This window comes from Homo sapiens, chromosome 4 (assembly GCF_000001405.40).
Source record: "Homo sapiens chromosome 4, GRCh38.p14 Primary Assembly".
Taxonomy (NCBI): domain Eukaryota; kingdom Metazoa; phylum Chordata; class Mammalia; order Primates; family Hominidae; genus Homo; species Homo sapiens.
Genome location: NC_000004.12, coordinates 54,984,913 through 54,999,950, shown reverse-complemented (window position 1 = coordinate 54,999,950; position 15,038 = coordinate 54,984,913). Strand labels below are relative to the sequence as shown.

Below are 15,038 nucleotides of genomic sequence, written 5' to 3'. Positions count from 1 at the left end.
CCTATTTCTTAATACTGTTGCATTAGGGATTATGTTTCAACATGAATTTTGGAACGACTCAAGCATTCAAACCATAGCACTCAGCCAGTCTATTTTAGTTTCCAAAGATACTAGCACAGAAGCTCAATTATTTAAGGAACTTTATAAATATTTGTAGAGTGAATACATAAGAGAATTTATTATTGATAGCTATAAGAGCATCTCTAAGATTGGGTTTCCTCATCCTTAAATAAGTTAATAATTCCTACTCCAAAAGCATGCTACAAGGATTGAATGAAACAATGTATGCACAGCAACTAGCACATAGTAAATAACCAGTAAAGGGTAGTAATTATTGGTAGAAATAGGGATCTGATGATGGTGATAAGAAAAATCAATGAATTAATAAATCAATCAATGCCCCATGCTTGCAACAGAAGAAGAGAGTCCTTCCCTGAGTGACAGAGAGAAGAGTCTCTCTCTCAGGGACATATCACCTAGTCTTCTAAACTTGCTTCATGTAACTGATAATCAGACATTGGTTGCCTTTGTGTTTCCATGAAATCTGTAGGTTGTATGTATTGGCTTGTCACCTAGATGGACCAGTAAATGGAACTCTGTGTGAACAGCTCACTTGAGAGTGCACACTTTTTGCAACATTACTTGAACTTGAGATCTTGAGGAAGAGCCAGCATTTGATGCAGGAGTCCAACATCAGAAAAAACAAGGCTAAAATACTCTTGGCACCAAATCCTGAGCTAAAAAGAGAGTTTTTCCAAAGAACTGGAGCACCCCTAGCAGGACAATAAAGGAACTTGAAGAGTAAGAGTTGAAAATTGTCAGAAAGGCAACTATGTACTCCAAGGAAGAGAAAGCAAGAATTTAAGCAAATAGCAAGGAGAAAAAAGCTCCCAGCTGGCTGGATAGTGAGGAGGCAGACACTGATGGATGCTCTGAAGCCAGCTGCTGAGAAGTAAAGGACAGGATTAAAACCGTATGACGTGGCAAGAAAGACCACTGGTCAAATGTTTGTCTGTTATACCTCTATCAAACATACTGTTATATCTCTCATATTCTCATATCCAGAGCCTGAATTTTTGGTATTTTGTTCATCATGGATTTTTTCCATTGATTTAGATTTCTGCAACATATTTTATTAAAATATTTATCCTGATGGTAGTTTTTTGGTGTCCTCTTAAATGTTGCTTCTCATTCATCTCACCCTGATTCTGGTCTTGCCTATGCCATTGATCATTGAGAAATACTCCCATATATGGTCACACTCACCCCTCATAGCAACCCAATAGGTAGGTATCACTAGCTGCATTTTGTGGTGTAACAAACTGAGCAAACTGAGACAGATTAAGTGCCTGCCAAACTTTATGCAGCCAATTGAAAAGTTTAACCTGTTCAAGTTGATCTTGAACACAGGCTACATTCTTGCCACCAAAGCATAGCTGCAGTCCAAGGCAATAATACAAAGACACTATAGGGAATCAGGTAAGAGTGGAATGAAATACATGAATAAAATTCATCTGAAGAAGTATTATGATTGAAATGGAGATCATGAGATGCTTAATGCAAGGCGACTGTAGTGGTCTGAGCAGTATTGCTTTCCATGGAGTATTTGATAGGTAACTCTCAAAAAGTTTGTTGAATCAAATATTTTCACTTTTCTTATTCTGTATTCTTTGCACCAAAGAAACATCTTTCTCAACAACTTATTTAAGCCATTGACTAGATTTGGCATGCAAACCAGTTCAATGTGTCAAAATCCTACTTGTGGCTGGGTGCAGTGGCTCATGCCTGTAATCCCAGCACTTTGGGAGGCCGAGGCAGGTGGATTACCTAAGGCCAGGGGTTCGAGACCAGCCTGGCCAACATAGTGAAACCCTGTCTCTACTAAAAATACAAAAAACATTAGCTGGGCATGGTGGTGGGCGCCTGTAATCTCAGCTACTTGGAAGGCTGAGGCAAGAGAATCGCTTGAACCCAGGAGGTGGAGGTTGCAGTGAGTCGAGACTGTGCCATTGCACTCCAGCCTGGGCAACAAAAGCAAAACTCCATCTCAAAAAAACAAAAACAAAAACAAAAAACAAAACAAAACAAAACAAAACTCTACTTGTGCACTCCTGGTCCATCATAGCAACCTGCTTTAAGTATTCATTTATTCCTTAGTTAAAACCAGGAATTAGTTTTCCTTGGATACACACCATCAAAGCCATTTTTAATTAAATTCTTGGCAGAATGCAGGGAGAAACATTTGATTAGCCAATCTTCATGAGGATGATATTCATAAGTTGTGTGGAAAAATTGTTTTCATTATTTAATAATTATAGCCCATTCTCTCTCATATGCTTATCTGCATATAAACATATATGCAGCATATAAACAATCTGAAGCATATAAACAATAATCTGAAAAAAAAAAAAAAAACCTCAAGACATTTGGATTTTGGCCACAGGTAGAAATGCCCCCAGATAGCCCTTGCAATGCAATCTTTTGCACTAAGCATATTTAGGAAAGCAGGAGGCTCTTCCTTTGAAGTGCTTAGTTTGGAATTTAAAAAGTGCAGCCTTTCATTCAGGAGACTGGTGGATAAATATATGCCATAGAAGACCCATGAAAGGGAAAGCCTCACCAGCTTCTTCACACATGTGCTTTTCGTCTGGGTTTCAGCGATGCTAAGAGAATTCAGATTTATACGTGAATTCTATTTGTCTTGTTCAACTTTCAGTGCAGAGAGAACAGCCATTTATATGAAATGAATGCATGGAAAAAGTTGTTTCAAGAAAAATGATTGTGATAGAGATATTCTCTGTAGATACCTCTGGGGAATTGGCTGTTATTAAATATTATTGAATAACATAGTTAAATGTTCCCAAAGGGAAAGTTTCATATAAATTTAATGTCCCCAATGAACTATTCATTATTTATTTATTCAATACATATTGATGGTTTAGGAATGTTCTAGGAGCTGGGGATACAGCAGTGACTAAGGCAGGCCACATCCTTGTCCTCTTGAAGCTTACATTCTAAGGGACAGACAGGCTGGTATGGTTTGGATTTGTGTCCCCACCCAAATCTCATTTGAATTATAACCCCCTATATTGGAGGTAGGGCCTGGTGGGAGAGGATTTGATCATGGAGGTGGATTTCCCCCTTGCTGTTCTCATGATAGTGAGTGAGTTCTCAGGAGATCTGGTTGTTTAAAAGTGTGTGGCATCTCCCCCTATCTCTCTTCCCTCCTACTCCAGCCATGTAAGATGTGCCTGGTTCTCCTTCACCTTCCGCCATGATTGAAAGTTTCCTAAGGCCTCCCCAACCTGTACAGCCTGCAGAACTGTGAGTCAATTAAACCTCTTTTCTTTGTAAATTACCCAGTCTCGCATATTTCTTTATAGTAGTACAAGAACAAACTATTAATAGTACACGGGCTATAAGAAAACAATTAATGGAATAATATAATTTCAGGTGAAACATGAAAAGCATAAATCAGGGTTAGTGATAGAGATTGATGGGATGGTTAGTCAGGCTATTGCAGCAGGATATCCTGGGAATATCTTTCTAAAAAGGGACATTTGACCAGATATTTGGATAATATGAATGCTTAAGCTGTGTGAGAATCTGGAGGATGTCTTCCAAATGGAAGAAGCTTTTAGAATGTGAACTCCATGAAATGAGAAACTTTGTTGTGTTCACTGTTGCATCCTCACATACTCCGCATTTGATACATCCTTGTTGAATTTTTGCTCATGAAAGACCTTGTTGTGGGAACGATTAAACAGAGCAGCATGTTGGAGCTGAGGGAGTAGGGGAGGAATCAAGTTGTAAAGTTGTCATTGTTCCCGGTGTCTTTACTAATAGAGCCTCTTTCAGTCTCAACACTGCCTGGTTTGGATGGATAAATTATATGTCCACTTTCCTAACAGGCTATGGTAAGGAGTTTGGATGTAATCGTGATGGGAAGTCAGCAGAAGACTCTGAGTATGGGAGCAGTGTTATTTTCTCTGTTAAAAATAGATCTTTGTGGAGATAAATATATTATGGAGGTGGCGGTTGGGGGGTGTTAGGCAATAGTGGAAATGAGGTGACAGTGAGGACAGTTAGTAGGTAATTACAATGATCCAGGTGAGAGATGATAGTGATATGGACGAGGGTGATAGCTGTGGAGGTGACAAAAGTGGGCAGATTGGGAATATAATTTAACATAAAGATGGTAGTCTTGTTGAAGATTTTAATGTGAAGTAGTAGACAACGAGAAACCAAAGAAAACCCCTAGGATTTTGGAGATACTGTAGGAGACCACAATTATACAACCTTGAAGTAAATGAACCTTCTACTTTGGGCAGGTTAAATTTGAGGTCCACAGTGAACATTAAAGCAGAGATACTGAAGAAGAAGTTGTATACACAGGTTTGGAGGCCTGGTAACGATGTGGAATTCATCAGTATATAATTAATATTTAAAGCCATTGGACTGAATAGGATTTCCTAGGAACTGAGTAAGGATGGAGAAGAATGAGGACTGGGTCTTGGAGCACTGCAGCATTTAAAAATAAGAAATGAAAGAAGCTAATGATGTCTCAAAGGATATTGAGATATACGAGTAATTGGGAAATTAATAGAAATAAACACAAAATGGGCCTTAGTTTAAAGTCAAACATCATAAACCTAAAAAATTTATATTTTAAAAAAAGAATGTGTACTTTTTAAAGAAAGGAGAAAAGGCGAGAAAAGAGAAAAGAAGCACACATCATAAAAAATACAATAAATTGAAAACATAAAATAAGGCAGAAATGTTATAGTATTAAAATTATTATAATGAATACAAATGGTTTAATTTTATCAATATAAAGAGAGAATTTCAGAATAATAAAAAGATTATAACAATTTGCAGTCTGTAAGAAACACACTGAAATAGGATATCAAAAATTTGAAAATAAAAGGATGTAATAAGCTATATTAGATAAAACATGAATCAAATTAGATGGAGTGGTATTATAATATCTGAAAAAGCAGAATTCAAGGTAAAATATGTCATAAGACACAAAGAGGATGTATCTTGGATAAAAGAATATGGAGTAATAACATGTAAACATTAATAAACCACATAAATACCTATGAAGTAAACTATATAACCTCAAGAAATACTATGCAACAACTTGAAAAAGTTTAGGGAGAATTACTAAGTCAACTATTATAATTGGAAGTGTTAATATTTCCCTCGCAAAAATGATAGATCAAACACACAAAAAATAATCAGAGCTTTAGAACATGTGAATAATACAATTAATGATCTTTAGACATTGTGTGTCCAGAATTGGTGGGTTCTTGGCCTCACCAACTTCGAGAATGAAGCCGCGGACCCTAGCGGTGAGTGTCACAGTTCTTAAAAGCAGCGTGTCCAGAGTTTGTTCCTTCTGATGCTCGGATGTGTTCGGAGTTTCTTCCTTCTGGTGGGTTCGTGGTCTCGCTGGCTTCAGGAGTGAAGCTGCAGACCTTCGTGGTGAGTGTTACAGCTCATAAAGGCAGTGTGGACCCAAAGAGTGAGCAACACCAAAATTTATTGCAAAGAGCAAAAGAACAAAGCTTCCACAGCGTGGAAGGGGACCTGAGCAAATTGTCCCTGCTGACTGGGGCAGCCTGCTTTTATTCTCTTATCTGGCCCCACCCACATCCTGCTGACTGGTCCATTTTACAGAGAGCTGATTAGCTGATTGGTCCATTTTACAGAGAGCTGATTGGTCCGTTTTGACAGGGTGCTGATTGGTGCGTTTACAATCTCTGAGCTAGACACAAAAGTTCTCCATGTCCCCGCTAGATTAGCTAGATATGGAGTATCAACACATAGGTTCTCCAAGTCCCCACCACAGTAGCTAGATACAGAGTGTGGATTGGTGCATTCACAAACCCTGAGCTAGACACAGGGGGCTGATTGGTGTGTTTACAAACCTTGAGCTAGATACAGAGTGCCGATTGGTGTATTTACAATCCCTTAGCTAGACATAAAGCTTCTCCAAGTCCCCACCAGACTCAGGAGCCCAGCTGGCTTCACCCAGTGGATCCTGCACCGGGGCCACAGGTGGAGGTGCCTGCCAGTCCCACGCCGTGGGCCCGCACTTCTCAGCCCTTGGGCGGTCGATGGGACTGGGCACTGTGAAGCAGGGTCGGCACTAGTCGGGGAGGCTCGGGCCGTGCAGGAGCCCACGGCGGGCCGGGGGAGGTTCAGGCATGGCAGGCTGCAGGTCCCGAGCCCTGCCCTGTGGGGAGGCAGCTAAGACCTGGCGAGAAGTGGAGCACAGCAGCTGCTGGCCCAGGTGCTAAGCCCCTCACTGCCTGGGGCAGTGGGCCAGCTGGCCGCTCCGAGTGCAGGGCCTGCCTAGCCCACGCCCACCTGGAACTCGCGCTGGCCTGCAAGTGTGGCCCGCAGCCCCGGTTCCCGCCGCGCTTCTCCCTCCACACCTCCCCACAAGCTGAGGGAGCCGGCTCCGGCCTTGGCCAGCCCAGAAAGGGGCTCCCACAGTGCAGCGGTGGGCTGAAGGGCTCCTCAAGTGTGGGCAGAGTGGGTGCCAAGGCCAAGGAGGTGCCAAGAGTGAGCGAGGGCTATGAGGGCTGCCAGCACGCTGTCACCTCTCAATTGCATATGCATACGCATAGACACACATTCTTTTTCTCCATTTAGTTAATACTCAACAAAAGGAAAATACAGCTATTTTTAAGCACACATGGAACCTTTACAAAATTTTTAATTATCATTTTTTAATTTATAAAAATGTATGGGGTACATGTAAAAGTTGTTACATGTATATAATGTGTAGTGATCAAGTCAGGATATTCAGGGTATCTGTCACCCAAATACAATGCATTTTTGTTAACTATAATCACTCTACTCTGCTACCAAACATTGAATTTATTTTTTTTATGTAACTGTGTGTTTATACCTTTTAACTCACTTCTCTTCATTCTCCCCACTACATCCCACTCAACTTTCCCAGTCTCTGTCTTCTATCTTTTTACTCTTTACTGCCATGTGATACAATTTTTTAGTTCCCACATATAAGTGAGAACATGTGATGTTTGTTTCTTTGTGCCTGAATTATTTCACTTAATATAATGACCTCTAGTTCCATCCATATTACTTCAAATGACATGATTTCATTCTTTTTATGGCTTAATAGTATTCCATTGTGTACATATGCACCTCACTTTTTAATCCAACCATCTGTTGATGAACACTTAGGTTAATTTCATACCTTTGTTATTTTGAATGTGTTGTAAATAAACAAGACAGTGCAGTTATCCCTTTCATATACTGATTTATTTTCCTTTGGGTAGATACTTAGTTGTGGGATTGCTGGATTGAATGGTAATTCTATGTTTAGTTTCTTGAGAAATCTCCATATTGTTTTCCAGAGTGGCTGTATTCCCACCAGCAGTGTATGAGTGTTCTCTTTCCTCTGCATCCTCACCAACGTCTGTTATTTTTTGCCTTTTAAATAGTAGTCATTCTGATTGGGGTAAGATGAATATCTCATTGTGGTTTTGGTTTGCATTTCTCTGATGATTAGTGATGTTGAGCATTTTTTCAAATGTTGGCCATTTGAAAGTCTTCCTTTGAGAATTGTCTATTCATGTCCTTTTCCCTTTTTTTAATGGGATTATTATTTTTTTGTTGAGTTCCTTGTACATTCTGGATACTAGTCCCCTAATATTGGAAAATATTTGAAATGATTTTTTTCCCACTCAACAGGTTGTTTCTTCTATCTGTTGATTATTTCTTTTGCTGTGCAGAAGCATTTTAGCTTAATTACATCCCATTTGTCTGTTTTTGTTGCCTGGGCTTTTAAGGTCTTAGTCATAAATTTTTTGCCTCAACTAATGTTCAGAAGAGTTTTGCCTAGGTTTTCTTTTTGTATGTTTATAGTTTCAGGCCTGATGTTTAAGTCTTTAATCTATTTTGAGTTGATTTCTGTATATGTCAGAAATAGGGATACAGTCTCATTCTTCTGCATGTGGCTATCTCATTTTCCCAGCACCATTTATTGAAGAGGGTGTCCTTTCCCCAATGTAAGCCTTTGTTGCTTTTGTCCAAGATCAACTGGCTATAAATACGTAGCTTTATTTCTGGGTTCTGTATTCTGTTCCGTTGATCCATGTGTCTATTTTTATACCAATATCATACTGTTTTGGTTACTATAGCCTTCTAATATATTTTGAAGTCAGATAATGTGATGCCTCAAGCTTTGATCTTTTTTGATTAGTATTGCTATGGATATTAGGGCTATGTTTTGGTTTCATATGCATTTTAGAATTGTCTTTTTCTAATTCTGTGAGGGGTGATACTAGCATTTTGGTAGGGATTGCATTGAATCTGTAGATTGCTTTGGGCAATATGGTCATTTTAAGGATATTAATTCTTCTGATTCACAAGCATGAATATTTTTTCATTTGTTTGTGTCATCTTTAATTTCTTTCATCAGTGTTTTTGTAGTTTTTCTTGTAGAGATCTTTCACTTCCTTGGTTAAATATATTCCTAGGTGTTTTAATTTTTTGTAGCTATTGTAAACAGCACTGCCTTCTTGATTTCTTTCTCAGCTTGATCATTATTGATGTATCAAAACATTACTAATTCTTGTACATTGATTTTGTATCCTGCCACTTTGGTGAACTCATTTATCAAATCTAAGAGTTTTTTTGGTAAAGTCTTTAGGTTTTTCTAGATATAAGATCACATTATCAGCAAAGAAGAACAATTAAACTTCGACTTTTTTACTTTGGATGCCTTTTATTTCTTTCACTTGCCTGATTGCTAAGGCTTGGACTTCTAGAACTATGTTGAATTGGAGTGCTGGAAGTGGACATCCTTGTTTTGTTCTTAGAGGAAGGGCTTTCAACTTTTCCTCATTCAGTATAATGTTAGCCATGAGTTTATCCTATATGGTCTTTATTATGTTGACAGACGTTCCTTCTATGCCTAGTTTGTTGAGAGCTTTTACCATGAAGTGATGTTGAATTCTATCAAATGCTTTTTCTTCGTCTACTGAAATGATCATATGTTTTTTGTTTTTCATTCTGTAGATGTGATGTATCACATTTATTGAGTCGTATATGTTGAACCATTCTTGCATTCCTGGTATAAATCCTTCTTGATCATGATGTATTATCTTTTTGATGTGCTATTGGATTCAGTTTGCTAGTATTTTGTTCAGGATTTTTGCATCTATGTTCATCAGGAATATTGGCTTGTAGTTTTCTTTTTTTGTTGTGTCCTTGTCTGGTTTTCATATGAGGATGATGCTGGCTTTGTAGAATTAGTTAGGAAGAATTTCCTTTGAATTTTTTTTGGAATAATTTCAGGAGGATTGGGATTAGTTCTTTCTACATTTGGTAGAATTCAGCTGAGAATTCATCCAGTCCTAGGTTTTTCTATATTGGAATACTTCTTATTACTGATTCAATCTCACTACTCATTATTGGTTCTTTCAGGTTTTTAATTTCTTCTTGATTCAGTCTTGGTAGCTTGTATGTTTCCAGGAATTTGTTCATTTTCTTTAGGTTTTTAGTGTATAGTTGTTCACAATAGTCTCTGACAATCTTTTATATTTCTGTGGTATCAATTGTAATGTCTTCTTTTCATTTCTGATTTTGTTTATTTGGATCTTCTGTCTTCTTGGTTAGTCTAGCTACCAGTTTATTTTGTTTACCTTTTCAAAGAAACAGCTTTTAGTTTTATTGATGCTTTGTATTATTTTTTAGTCTTTATTTCATTTAATTACGCTCTGATCTTTATTATTTCTTTTATTCTGCTAATTCTGGGTTTGGCTTGTTTCTTTAAACATTGTTAAATTGTTAATTTGTAATCTATCTACTTTCTTGATATAAACATTTATTGGTATAAATTTCCCTCTTAGCACTGCTTTTACTGTATCCTACAGGTTTTGGTATGTTATGTTTCCCTTTTCATTTGTTTCAAAAAGTGTTTTGATACTCATCTTAATTTCTTTGTTGACACAATGGTTGTTCATGAGTACACTGTGTAATTTTTATGTATTTACATAGTTTCCATAGTTTCTCTTTCCATTGATTTCTAGTTCTATTCCATGTGGTCTGAAAGATATTTGTTATAATTTTGATTTTTTAAAAAAATTGTTGAGAATTGTTTTGTGGCCTAACATATGATCTATCCCGAAGAGTGTTTTATGTGCTAATTAAAAAAAATGTATATTCTGCAGTTGTTGAATAGGATGTTCTGTAAATGTCTATCACATTCATTTGTTCTAAAGACTAGCTTAGATCCAATATTTGTTTTTTGATTTTCTGTTTAGATGATCTGTCTAATTCTGAGAATGAGGTGTTGAAGTCCCCCACTATTATTGTATTGCAGTCTATCTCTCTCTTTAGATCTAGTAATGTCTGCCTTATGAATCTGGATGCTCCAGTGTTGAGTGCATTTTTATATCTACTAGCTGGATTGATCCCTTTATCATTACATAATGACCTCCTTTGTCTTTTTTTAAAACTATTTTTGACTTAAAGTCTATTTTATCTGATTTATGTTAAGCTACTCCTGCTTGCTTTTGGTTTTCATTTGCATAGAATATCTTTTTCCATTCCTTTACTTTTGTATATGTGTCTTTACTAGCAAGGTGGATTTCTTGTAAGCAACAAATAATTGGATCACTTAAAAAAATACATATAGCCATTCTATAATTTTAAGTGGAGTATTTAATCCATTTATATTCAAGGTTGTTATTCATATGTGAGGTTTTGTTCCTATCATATTGTTAATTATTTTCTGGTTGTTTTATATATTTTTTGCTACTTAATTTTTCCTTTATTGTTTGTTGTTGTGGTTTGGTAGATTTCTGTAGTGGTGGTATCATTTCAGTCTTCTTTCTTCTTGTGATTGCTTTACCAGTGAGTTTTATAGTTTCATGTGATTTCATGATGGTGAAAGTCATCTTTTCACTTCCAGGTTTAAGACTCTCATAAACATTTCTCATAAGTCTGGCTCAGTGGTTATAAATTTTCCCAGCATTTGCATATTTGGGAAAGACTTTCTTTCTCCATTTATGATGAATAATTTTGCTGACTATAGTATTCTTGGCTGACAGTATTTGTCTTTCAACACTGAATATATTTTCCCATTCTCTTCTGACTTGTGATGTTTCTGCTGAAAAATTTACTGTTACTCTGATGAGGTTTCCTTTATAGTTGACTAGATACCTTTCTCTTGCTGTTTTTAGGATTCAGTCTTTATCTATGACTTTAGACAGTCTGACTATGATGTACTATGGAGAAGATCTTATTGCATCCTATCTGCTTGGGGATTGTCAAGCTTCTGTATCTGGATGTCTAAATATCTTGCTAGACTTGGGAGTCATCTATTATTTCATGAAACAGTTTTTCTAATCCTTTTTTTCTCTCTTCCCTATTGAGGAATCCAATAATTCTTAAATATAATTGCTTTATGCTGCCTCAAATGTTATGAAAACTTTGTTCATTTTTTAAAAATCGTTTTTTTTTTTGTCTGGATTATTTCAAAAGACCTGTCTTCAAGTTCTGAGATTCTTTCTTCCTACCTATTTTGTTATTGCCGCTTTCAAATATATTTTTTATTTCCTTCAATGAATTCTTTGGTTCCAGAATTTTTTTTTTAAATATCTACCTCTTTGGTAAATTTCTCATCCATATCCTGAATTGTTTTTCTAATTTTCCTGCATTATTTTTCAGAATTATCTTGTATCTATCTCATCTAGCTTCTTTAAAATCAATAGTTTGAATTTTTAATCTTGGCTTTCAAGAATTTCTTTTCTCTTTCTTTCTTTCTTTCTTTCTTCTTTCTTTCTTTGTTTTTCTTTGCCACAGTCTCGCTCTGTCACTCAGGCTGGAGCACAGTGGCGTTATCTCAGCTCACTGAAGCCTATGCTTCCCGGGTTCAAGCGATTCCTGTGCCTCAGCCTCCCAAGTAGCTGGGATTACAGGTGTGCGCCACCATGCCTAGCTAATTTTTGTACTTTTAGTAGGGACAATGTTTTACCATGTTGGCCAGGCTGGTCTCAGACTCCTGACCTCAAGTGATCCACCTGCCTCAGCCTCCCAAAGTGCTGGGATTACAGGCATGAGCCACCACACCTGGCCAAGAATTTCTTTTTGATTAGTATCTTCTGCTGGAAAATTATTGTGTTCTTTTAGAGGTGTAATATTTCCCTGGTTTTCAATATTTCCCTGGTTTTCAATGTTCCCTGGTTTTCAATGTGTCCTTATCTTGTTCTGTGCATCTGGTGACTGTAACAGTTACTTCTATTTTTAAATTTACTTTCATAGGGAAAAATCTTTTTCCAGAAGATGTTGTTGGTTGAGTAGGGCACCTTAGCTTTGATTCTGTGGTGTGTAGTAGTGTAGTCTCCATATGATTTCTTTGGTTGTAAACAACATTATTGGTATCTGTGATTTCCTTATTATGTTAGGGTGCAGTTATTAGTGGAGGCTGTGGCAAAGTTGTGTTTGGGACTGGAATGTCAGGTGGGCCAGTCTTCAGGCCCTAGTCGTAGCAGTGATGGGGTGAGTACGTGTATCCTTGTACCCTAGGGTGGTGCATGCTGGCATCTGTGTTGGTTTGTTTGTTATCTACAGGCCAATTCTTGGGCCTAAAGGTGGCTTTCTGGGATGCTAGTAGTAGCAGCAGTGGAGTGGGTGGATGAGTTGGTTCTTAGGCCTTGAGGTAGCCAGTGTGGCAAAGGCAATGGCAATAACTGTGATAGGATGATTCCCTGGGTCCCAAGCAGTGTGTATATGTTTTGGCGGTGTCTGCAGTGTGCTGGAATGGCCAGTCTCTAGACCTGCGTGTGGTGCTGACAGGTAGGTGTCAGCTGAGGTTGTAGTGATTGGGTATTTAGGCCAAACCTCAGGCCCCTGGGAGGAGTGTTAAGGCAATCCATATGGTGGATTGGGTTGAGAAATCCCCAGGACCCCAAGCTATGTGCTTTAGCATTGGGGATAAAGCCGGGTTGGGCAGGCTTATGCTCAGGCCTCCAAATGAGGAGAGCGGGTGCCAGCCATGGTGAGCAGAGGCATCCTCAGATCCCAGGTGGACCGCTTGGGTGAGGGATGGTAGCAGCTGCATTGAGTCCCTGCCATTGTGAAGCCAGCCTCAGTGGCCACAGCCTAAACCAGTGGGTAATATGCATCCCTCTCATGCCCAATTCTGATGAGGCATGGCCACCAGTCGTGGTGGTAGCCTGCACCTAGCTCACACCTCAGCCTGGCTGCAGGAGCTCCCACCCAACTTGCAATGAATCCCAGAAGCAACGTGGGCCCAGCTCACATCCCAGTGTCAGTCCTGATGGCGCTCACTTCCCAGCACTGGCAGCTGCAGCCCATATACTGCTTCCTTGTCAGCCCCAGGTGTGGGAGCCCATTCCTAGCTTGTGTTGCAGTCCCAACAGCAACAGCCCAAGTTTCCCTAACACCTCAGTCCCAGTGCTGCTGGGCCCTAGGAAAGCCCGCAGTTTGTGAAAGGCTGCACTTAAAAATGACACCTTGCAATACCTGCATAGGTCTCAGAAAGTGTATGGGACACAGCATGAGCTCCCTCCCTGAAGCAGTTCTGTGTCACAGTCTCCCAGCAGCTCCCTTTGTTATTCCCAGGGGTTGGGAGGATCCAGCGTGGTCAGATTTGCATAATTCCATGGTGGGGATGTGAGCTGCTGAAAGTCTCTCACTTAGCCCTTTCCCCATGTTGGGAAGTCACTCCTGGCTCCCAGCTGATCCCAGTCAAGCAGGCTGCCTCTCTTTCTTCTAAGTCTTTGTTTTCAGTGTTTCCTGTCACTTTTCTTTTGAATTCTGGTGTTCTTTCTTGGATAATGTATTTGAAACGTGATTGTCTACACACTGTATTGGTTCTTCTAAGGGGAGGAAGAGCACATGAAATGCTTCTAGTCAGCCATCTTGAAGCCCCTCCACACTTTACAAACATTAATCATGCAAAGAAAACTTCAATAAATTCCAAAAGATCAATATCATACACATTATTATCTGACTCTCGTCAATCAAATTAGAAACCAATACCTAAAGAAACTCTATAAAAATCTCACATGTCTATAAACTAGTAATCTCATATGTTAAAATTTCCATATGCCTAGACATTTGGGCTAAAATTAGCACCACTTTCAAAAATCTTAAGGTAAACACGAAATACTTAGACATGAATTAGCCTTGAAAATAGTCGATGCCAAAATTTGTGAAAACAACTAAAGTAATACTTAGAAAAAATGTTATAGCTTTAAATACATTTAACAGGAAACAAGAGAAGTCAAAAGCAAATAAATTAAGCATAAACTTAAGGAATTAGAAAGTTAAGAGGCTGAAAGCAAATTATTAAACTTAAGAAGTTTAAAAAGACAAAGAACAAAGGATATATATAATAAGGCTCAAGGAAGAAATCAATATAATAAAGAACAATGAAACATTTAAATGAATCAAATTGATGTCAGTTCTTTGAAAATATCAATGATAGATCTCTGGAAAGATTAATCACAAAGAAGAGAAAAAATACAAATAACCAATTACAGAAAAGAAAAAGGGAAATTACTTTCAACACAAGAAATATTTACAGAATTAATATTTCGAAAAACTATGTACTAATTTGAAGTTTTCAAAATAAGCATCGTTATTTGAAAACAGATGAAATGCACAATTTTTAGAAAAATATAAAATGTTAAAATTAGCACAAAAGGAAATGTAAACTTGAATTAACTGATAAGAACTAAAGAAATTGTAGGCTGGGCATGGTGGCTCATGCCTGTAATCCTAGCACTTTGGGAGGCCTAGGCGGGCGGATTGCTGAGCTCAGGAATTTGAGGCCAGCCTGGCCAACATGGTGAAACCCTGTCTCTACTAAAGTACAAAAAAAATAAAAAATAAAAAATAGCCGGGTGTGGAGGCATGTGCTGCCCAGGAGGCAGAGCTTCCAGTGAACAGAGATCAGAGATCATGCCACTGCATTCCAGCCTGGGTGACAGAACCAGGCTCTATCTCCAAAAAAAAAAAAAAAA

General features: G+C 38.2%; 1 annotated feature.

Annotated features, from left to right (window-relative positions):
- Nucleotides 13,194-13,901: an enhancer, noted in NCBI's record as "OCT4-NANOG-H3K27ac-H3K4me1 hESC enhancer chr4:55852217-55852924 (GRCh37/hg19 assembly coordinates)". NCBI's record gives its function as "activates a minimal SCP1, AML or CMV promoter by ChIP-STARR-seq in naive H9 embryonic stem cells {active_cell/tissue: H9 hESC(naive)}" and the evidence as "EXISTENCE:reporter gene assay evidence [ECO:0000049][PMID:30033119]".